This window comes from Homo sapiens, chromosome 11, assembly GCF_000001405.40.
Source record: "Homo sapiens chromosome 11, GRCh38.p14 Primary Assembly".
NCBI classification, from domain to species: Eukaryota; Metazoa; Chordata; class Mammalia; order Primates; family Hominidae; genus Homo; species Homo sapiens.
The window spans coordinates 4,444,751-4,454,232 of NC_000011.10; the positions used below are offsets into that span (position 1 = coordinate 4,444,751).

The following is a 9,482-nucleotide window of genomic DNA, read 5'->3' on the forward strand; positions in this document are numbered from 1 at the left end:
TTTCAGCAATAACTAGTTATATCTTTGCAGCATGGTCTTATAGTAGTCCTATAGACCATGGGTCCCCAACCCCTGTGCCACAGGGTCCTGTGGCATGGCCTGTTAGGAACTGGGATGCACAGCAGGAGGTGAGCGGTAGGTGAGAGAGCATTACTGCCTGAGCTCTGCCTTCTGTCAGATCAGCCAGGGCATTAGATTCTCACAGGAGCAAAAACCCTGCTGTGAACTACACATGCAAGGGATCTAGGTTGTACACTCCTTATGAGAATCTAATGCATGGAGTAGGGGTGAGGAGATGTGAAATTTAGTACTAGATATGCTGCTTATTTCCTCCATGACCATTTGGGGACTCAGTTTCCCAAACCCATCATTCTAAGGTCCTCTCAGGATACACGTGTGGCCTGCCACATAGATAACGGCACTGATTGAATACTCTGTAGGTATGGAGTCCCCATGCACTTTTAGGGGAGACAAAGTCTTCCTTTTGTTGTTTGCTGACATCTTGGCTGTGAAGGCAGGAAACAAACAAAAGACGACGACATGTAAGGACCGGACAAAGCACTCATACCAAACAGGTTCAAGGGTGTTGGGCAGAAGACCAGATAAGCAGAGTCAGATGGTGAATGGAATTAGAGGTACATTTGAATGGACACTGGAAAGAGGGAAAGCTGATGGATTCTCAGGCATTTTAAAACAGAATAGGCAAGCTGTGGGATTGAGGACAAATAAATGGGAGGGCCAGGTGTGGGCAGCAGGAGCACACTGGGAGTGAGGGAGATGAGGCCACTCAGGGAGAGGGGAGCCCTGTTTGGAACTGAAGCATATCCACTTAGGATAAGGGTGACAACATGTTTAAGAGGACATTCTTTTGTGTATTCAAGAAATAGTCAGCAAGTGCCTATATGGGATATAGTTGTGGTGAAGACACAAAAGAGTCCTTTCATCATGGAGCTTCCACGCGTCCATCCCAAAGCTAAGTCCTGGAGAAAATGCACAGATATAAGTTAGACTTTGAGGCAGAGTTTCTAACAAGAGGCTTTTAGTCTGACCTAGGTAACAAAAAGTGACGGGAAATTTCATAGAATTTTGCATCTGTGGAGGTGAGTCTCAGTTTGGATCAGAGGGTGGTATATTATGCAGTGGGAAGGAAGGAGTAAGTTTCTCCAGGAAGGGAATCATTCATGCATTCATTTAAAATAGCACTTTTCTTTTCCTAGTGCTGTTCTTTATGGAGGGCCTATCTGAAGGTGGAGGGTGGGAGGAGGGAGAGGAGCAGAAAAGTAACTATTGGGTATTAGGTTTAGTACCTGAGTGATGGAATAATCTGTACAACAAACCCCCGTGGCACACATTTACCTATATCACAAACATACACATAGGACTTGAACCTAAAAGTTTAAAAAGGTTAAAAATAAAAAGGCACTTATTGAGTATCAACCATGTTCAGTAAAGTCTGAATATAGAAGTGAATAAAGTCACAGGCTTTGTACTCAAAGAATTCATGGCCCGATGAATTATGAGATACATGCAGAGGTAACACAGGTGGTACCCTCATTGTGCTATTTGATTCAATGCGTTAGTGAATCTTCATTGAAATGACTGAGAACATCTTCCTGAAAGAGTCTGAAAAGACTTCACCAAGAAGGTGGCAGGATCTTGATTAGGTATGAAAGGGAACAGAGGAAAGAATTCCAGATAAACAGTATGAGCTACAAACATTACCCTTTTAGGAAATGGCAAATAACCCAGTGTGGTTGAACCTAGGATGAATATTTAGGGGACTAAAAGGAGTAAGGCCAACAATTTAGGCAGGAATAGGTTTTCACAAAAGTTTAGTGATTTTTATTTTTCTTGTAGCAATGAGATCCTATAAGTGGTTTTCAGCACGGAAGTGTTAGGTTGGTGCAAAAGCAATTGCGGTTTTTGCATAAAAAGTAATGGCAAAAACCACAATTAATTTTGCACCAAACTAATAAAATATGTGGTCTGTCGCACTGTAGTGGATGAGGTGAGCAGGGGTAGAAAACTAAGGAGGTTTTTATACTGACAGGGGAAAGAGATGATGATATGTCAATTATGGAAGGCACAGGGCATGGAGAGAAGAAGAACAGCATGAGACAATTCAGGGGCAGAATCAAGGGCCACCATCACTGACTGAGAAAGAACTCCATGAGCTCCAGTACCTGTGGAAGGCCATATGCCTGGAGAATAATGAAAGAAGTGGAAGAGATGAGGCTGAAAAGTGAGTAGTGACCAGACCAAGCAGGATCTTGTAAGCCAGAGTTAGAATGTGCATTCCATCCTAAGTACAATGGTAGCCCATGAAGGCTTTAGTGAAGGCCTTGCCTGATAGAACTTGCTTTCTTAAATGGCCTTTTTGGCTGCAGTACAGAGAATGAATTATTATAGAAGGTACAAGATTCCATACCACTGAGAAGAGTTAGAAGACTTTTGTAGTCCAGATGAAAGATGATGGTGACTTAAATAAGAGTGCTTGGCAAGGCACACAAAAAGAGTAGGGACTGGAACACATAGGTCGATCACACTTGCCTTTTGAAATTGGATATAAAGGATGAGGAAGGGGACTGAATCAAGGATTACACCCTGGGTTTCTGACCTAGCTATAGGATGGATGGTAATAATACATACTGAGATGGGCAAGTCATGGAGAGGAAAGAGTTTGTGGAGACAGATTTCTGTTTTGGCCCTATTTTGTTTGAGACTTTAAAGTGGAACTATCCAGTGGGAAGTAGGATATGCTAGTTGGGAACTCAGAGTAGAAGCTAGACAGTTGAGCATTCCCTGAATATTGATTTCTCTTGGCATTTTTACCACCTAAGAGAGCACCTAGAGAAGTATGAGAATAAAAGGGCAACAAAAAGAGGAGAGAAAAGAAGAGAGAGAGAGGGGAATACACAAGCAATGATAAGATCATATAAGGGGAGTAGAGGAGATGGGAGCTAGATTGGAAGGAATTAAAAATTAAGAGATGAGGAATTAGATAATGAATTACTCAACTTTTTCAACAAACATTGTTGTGAAGGAAAACAGTTGCGGGTGTTAGATGGAGGGAGATATAAGGCCAAGGAATGCGGGATTGTGCTGATGTCAAGAAAAACATTTTAAAAAAGGGGGCAGATTTGTGTGGGAGGGGGAATATTGTAATGACAAATAACAGTTTTACAATGCTTTACAGTTTACAGGGACTCTTCTCATGATTTTATCTTTCCTCATCATGAAGCAGTAAAATTGTCATGGAAGATATGGTTATGCCTTCATCTATAGGTGAGGAACCTAAATCTTTAAAAATTTCAGTGATTAATACTAGTTTCTATTGGTAGGCTGATGGCTCAATCATTACTTAAACCCAAGTCTTTAGATTCTAATTTTTTTTCCTATATCATGATAATGAGTTTGAGTTATATTTCTGTTAACTTGAATATGCTGGATTTATACTTCTTAGGAAGCAATGAGGTAGAAGCAGAAGAGTGTAGTGATTTAAGACATTGGATTGGGAGGCAGCAAACCAGAGTTCTCGAAGCTCAAGTTTCATCTTTGACGTTTTCCAACTGTTCTGATTGTTAGTGACTTAGTCTTTTGTTTTCTCAATTCATAAGTGTCCACGTTTACTGAGCACTGTTTCAAGATTTGTGCTAAGTGTTTTAAAAGATCTCAAAATCCCCAAAAGAAAGTTTTTAGGCAGGAGCTGAAAAAAAAGGTGGCACAGGTCAAAAATATTGCAAGGAAATGTTTAAACGTTTTCAAGGGAAATGACAACAGAAGGTGGAAAAAGATAGAATGATAAGGATCCCAGATGGAAAAATAGTGTGAAGGGAATAGGTCAGTCTTGCAAAAAGGTAAGTGTGGGGCATCTCTTCTTCTGAATGTCATGAAGTCCAGGAAGGAAGAAGCACGTAGAGATGAAGGTTAAACTACAGTTAGGCAAAAGAGAACAACAAAAGGGCTTCTCATGTTCTCAAGTTACCTGGAGGTAGGGCTTTAGTTGGAGGGATTTCTGAGTGTCAAACAAGGACCTACGAAACCCTGCTAGAAAAAAAATCTAAAGAACTTGTAGGGAAGTGAATTATTAGAAAGTGCTAACTACATTTATTTTTCATATGACCAAGATTGACATTTCAGGGCAGAAACTCTTTCATAATTGGGAGTGTAGTTTGAATTGGAAGGCAATAGGAAGACAGTGACGGTAAATGTTTGTGGGTATGATTTGAATTAAGCAGCAATCTGTATTATTTACAAAGTTGCTTTTGGCCACATGCAGGCCACAAAAGGCTCTTCCTCCACTTGATTTCTCAATAAGGCTGCTTTGTAATACTAGCTTTATTGGAATTAAATGTCCTGAGCACCCAGTGTTTTTATAAACAGCTTAAGGGCAAGGATCATGCATAATATTTCATGATACATATGATTATTTTCTCATTTCTTTTCATGTCTAAAAATGGGTCTAAGAACTAATCTTCTCACAAGAATGATCAGAGTTTGAATGTGAGCATTGTAATTCTGCTGATATTGAATATTCTCTGGAAGGGCCCTGTGGAAGCAGATAAGGAGGAAGAGAATTCCCAGGAGCCATGTCAGCCTCCAATATCACCTTAACACATCCAACTGCCTTCTTGTTGGTGGGGATTCCAGGCCTGGAACACCTGCACATCTGGATCTCCATCCCTTTCTGCTTAGCATATACACTGGCCCTGCTTGGAAACTGCACTCTCCTTCTCATCATCCAGGCTGATGCAGCCCTCCATGAACCCATGTACCTCTTTCTGGCCATGTTGGCAGCCATCGACCTGGTCCTTTCCTCCTCAGCACTGCCCAAAATGCTTGCCATATTCTGGTTCAGGGATCGGGAGATAAACTTCTTTGCCTGTCTGGCCCAGATGTTCTTCCTTCACTCCTTCTCCATCATGGAGTCAGCAGTGCTGCTGGCCATGGCCTTTGACCGCTATGTGGCTATCTGCAAGCCACTGCACTACACCAAGGTCCTGACTGGGTCCCTCATCACCAAGATTGGCATGGCTGCTGTGGCCCGGGCTGTGACACTAATGACTCCACTCCCCTTCCTGCTGAGATGTTTCCACTACTGCCGAGGCCCAGTGATCGCTCACTGCTACTGTGAACACATGGCTGTGGTGAGGCTGGCGTGTGGGGACACTAGCTTCAACAATATCTATGGCATCGCTGTGGCCATGTTTATTGTGGTGTTGGACCTGCTCCTTGTTATCCTGTCTTATATCTTTATTCTTCAGGCAGTTCTACTGCTTGCCTCTCAGGAGGCCCGCTACAAGGCATTTGGGACATGTGTCTCTCATATAGGTGCCATCTTAGCCTTCTACACAACTGTGGTCATCTCTTCAGTCATGCACCGTGTAGCCCGCCATGCTGCCCCTCATGTCCACATCCTCCTTGCCAATTTCTATCTGCTCTTCCCACCCATGGTCAATCCCATAATCTATGGTGTCAAGACCAAGCAAATCCGTGAGAGCATCTTGGGAGTATTCCCAAGAAAGGATATGTAGAGGGTGAGGTGGAGAAAGAATGGGTTGGCTTGTCTGCTGGAGTTGGAGACAGGCTATGGTAGAATGTGCACGGCTGCCAGGATCTTCATGTTTAGTTTTTTCTTGGAAAAAAAAAAAATGATGTCCTGAAACTCAGAGCCACCAGTCTGTTCAGGACTCATGGGTCTGTGTCCTCTGGTAGCCTGTGGATTGAATGTGCTGACTGTGCTGTCTTCTCACAGTGCCCTCACCCCTATCAGTAACTTGACAGAGACTTGACCCATGGGTCTCCAGGTGACTTCACCGAAAGACACAAAGATGCTTCCAACTTCATTTGCTGAAGAGAAGACTTTGAAAATCTGAGTTTCTTTTCTTAGTCATTGGGAATTTGGTGAACTATCTACTCAGGACCTGGGTGAGGGCCAACAGTATATCTGACATAGGAATCCTTCATTCATTCTGACTGGTGGTGTCCAGCTTCTGATGAAACACTCAGTGTTAGGAAGTTTGAAACATTCCAGGGCTGCAGGTTCTGAGTAAGACACCTATGCTTGCTAGAAAATCATTTTTTCACCTAAGCCAGTATGTGTATTCTTTTGCTTATATTTACCAATCCATCCTTATGTCCAATTCCTTTTATTAAGTACTTTGAATAAGACATGTCCTCTGGCTTTATGTTTCATGCAACTCTTTCTTTGCACATAGATGTATCTTATGTTTTCAAGAATGAGAATGGCTCATTTATTTACTAATTCCACCAAATCTGTGATAGGGGATGGGGACACATATACTAAATTAGGGGTGTCAGACTTGTGTATTTGTCCTAAGACAGAGAAGGAAATGATAATTATGATAGATTCTGTTCTCTGAAATTTCCATCCCAAGGCCCAGCATAATAAAAGAAGAGCAAGACCAAGCAGATAGGAGGCAAGAATATTATGTTTCTCTTTTCCTGTCTCATGTGAACTTACCTACTATATAATTCTCTATTAATCCTGACAACACAGCTAAGCTTTTCACACAAGCCCTGTATAAATACATTGTTCTGCTGTTATCTTCTGACCCACTTGTTTCCTCAGATATTATTGCTTAGAAATTATATATCTCTTTTGCTATCACTGTATCTTTCTCTATTTACCTGTCTATATTATTTAGCCTTGAAAGATAATTTCCAAGCCTATTTCAGGTGGGGTGTAGAAGGTTGGAAGCTGTCCAGGAGGGAAGAGTATAGCAAGAACCTAGAGTTTTACTTCCCCTTATATTCCACCTCTGCTCTTATAATTCCCTTTGACACAAAAACAAATACCCCAGAGAAATAATGTATTACATAAAAAATTGCTACATGCTAGATATATATATTTTTGGAGTATATGTGATATTCTGATATATTCATATAATAGATAATGATCAAATCAGGATAATTGGAATATCCATGACCTTAAATGTTTCTTTTATGCTAGGAACATTAAAATTATTCTCTTCTAGCTATTTTGATATATACAGTAGATTGTTTTCTATAGTCCCTACTGATTTCTTGAACACTACATCTTGTTATTTTTTATATCTAGCTGTATTTTTATACTCAATTAATCTCTTATCCTCCCTGCCTCCCTTCCCAGCCCCCAATAACCACCAATCTGCTCTCTATTTTCATGAGCTGTACTTAGCATCCACATGAGTGAGAAATACAATAATTGTCTTTCTGTACCTGGCTTGTTTCACTTAACTTAATGACCTACAGTTTCATCCACGTTGCTGCAAGTGACAGGATTTCATTCTTTCTTATGACTAATATTCCATGTGTATCATATTTTTCTTTATCCATTCAGATATTAATAGCACTTACATTGATTCCATGTTTTGGCTATTGTGTCTAGTACTAAATATAGGAATACAGATATCTCTTTGACATATTGATTCCTTTCTTTTGAATAAATACCTAGTAGTGGGATTACTAAATCTCATGGTAGTTATATTTTTAGTATTTTGAGGAACTTCCATACTGTTTTTCAGAGTGGTTGTATTAATTTGCATTCCCTCCAGAATTGTTGAGGACTAGATATGCTAATGGCAGCACAAGGAAGACTTTGTTCAGCCTTAGATGAAAAGTATTGCTTTTGGGTAAACCAACTGTGAAAAGTACAGGACAACATCACACGACTTCCAAATCAAGCCTCCATTTATTATGGGAACTTGCCTCTCAGGGTTGGTTAGATAGGGAAGGAGCCTGGAAATGGTTCTCCTGGGTTCTTTCCTTTTTAGGACCACTTGTTATTCTCCTAGTTTTGCACCTTTTTGGTTCAGGTCTTCTAAATTCTAAACCCAATTTGTCTCCTCTCACCCCCAGGCCATCAAGCTCCAGATGGTCCTCCGTGAGGTATACTGTCCTCTCAATATTCAAGAGGTACCCTTCTACAGGGAACCGCTAGACTGCTCATCAGTGGACAGAAAGTAGGCAAAATTCTGCCCCTGGACCTGGCTGGATACCACTTTTGCTAAGCCACTGAGTCACCCTCCTGCCCTGACAGCAAGAGGCCAAGACCCACAGAACCACCACCACCACCCCTCTGTCAGCAGAAAGCAGTTACAAAAGACTGACCTTCATCCATTTTCCTCCAAAGATTTGGGGTCTTGGGCTCTTGAGTGGGGGGAAACATTACAGGTAGTTAGACAGGCATGAGTGGGGCAGGAGGGGGCCCTACCACCTACCCACCAGGAATGTCTGACTATAGTCAAGTGATGGTTGGGCAGTTACCACACTGCCCCTCTAAAAATGATAACTTGGCCATCAGTGCCAGGGAGAGACAATCTCCCGATGGTCCAAGCTGCCACACTAAAGTGTTAATTGAATTCAGGTACCTAAGAGAGGCAACTTCCCAAACAGATGAAAATACTTGAGATTGGTAATCAGTTTCCAGTAAAATCACAGGAAATGAGCAAGTGAGCCTGGGCATGTTCATTAAAAAACAAAGTGGTGGAGTATGACCTTCCAGAGGCATTCTGTCAGAAAACTGAAGAAAGCCTCAGATGGGCATGCGTACAACTTCTTAAACACACTGCGCATGCTCACTTCCTAAGGGTAAGGAGGGCACTGTGCATTCAGGCAGCCCACCCTAAGGGAAGAATCATGGGAAAGGGGTGCAAGACCCTGGAAGTGGGCCATCTTATAAAGTCCCAGGATCAAGATTAAGTGGGGCACTTGTCCTTCAAGTCGCCTGCTTGGGTCTCTTCCAAGTGTACTTTCCTTTCTTTCCTGCTCTAAGGCTATTTTTTTTTTTTTTTTTTTTTTTTTTTTTTTTTTTTTTTGAGATGGAGTCTCTCTCTGTAACCCAGGCTGGAGTGCAATGGCATGACCTCGCTCATTATAACTACCGCTTCCTGGTTTCAAGCTATTCTTCAGTCGCAGCCTCCCAAGTAGCTGGGACTACAGGTGCCTACCACCATGCCTGGCTAATTTTTCTATTTTTAGTAGAGACGGGGTTTCACTTTGTTGGTCAGGCTCATCTCGAACTTCTGACATCAGCTGATCCACCCACCTCAGCCTCCCAAAATGCTGGGATTACAGGTGTGAGCCACTGTACCTGGTGCCTGCTCTAAAGCTTTTTAATAAACTTCCACTCCTGTTCTGAGACTTGCCTTGGTCTCTTTTTCTGCCTCATGACCCTCAAAATTCTTTTTTCTGAGGAGGCAAGAATTGAGGTTGCTGCAAACCTGTACAGATTCACTGCTGATAACTTGGATACCTTATATACGCATAACAGAAGCAGATATGGGACTAGATATTGGTGTTAGAACAACTAAGTTCCTCTTCAAAACTTAACTTTCTTGTTATAAGTTGTAAGATTGTAAATTAGCCCTTCTCCCTGCTTTGGCCTTCAAAGTCCTCATCTCACTACCTTATTTGGAAGAAGTTTCAAACTTCCTTTTTCTCTCTGTTCTGTGACCAACCCTTCCCTCCTTGCTGCACCC

The 9,482-nt window shown here is 41.8% G+C and overlaps 1 protein-coding gene across 1 annotated transcript; it reads left to right on the forward strand.

Annotated features, from left to right (window-relative positions):
• Window positions 1-4,544: 4,544 nt before the first annotated feature.
• OR52K2 (olfactory receptor family 52 subfamily K member 2) lies at window positions 4,545-5,611 on the forward strand. The gene has a single exon (NM_001005172.2). It carries the CDS (start codon window positions 4,590-4,592, stop codon window positions 5,532-5,534), a length of 945 nt encoding a protein of 314 aa, NP_001005172.2. The 5' UTR covers window positions 4,545-4,589; the 3' UTR covers window positions 5,535-5,611.
• The last annotated feature ends 3,871 nt before the right edge of the window (window positions 5,612-9,482 follow it).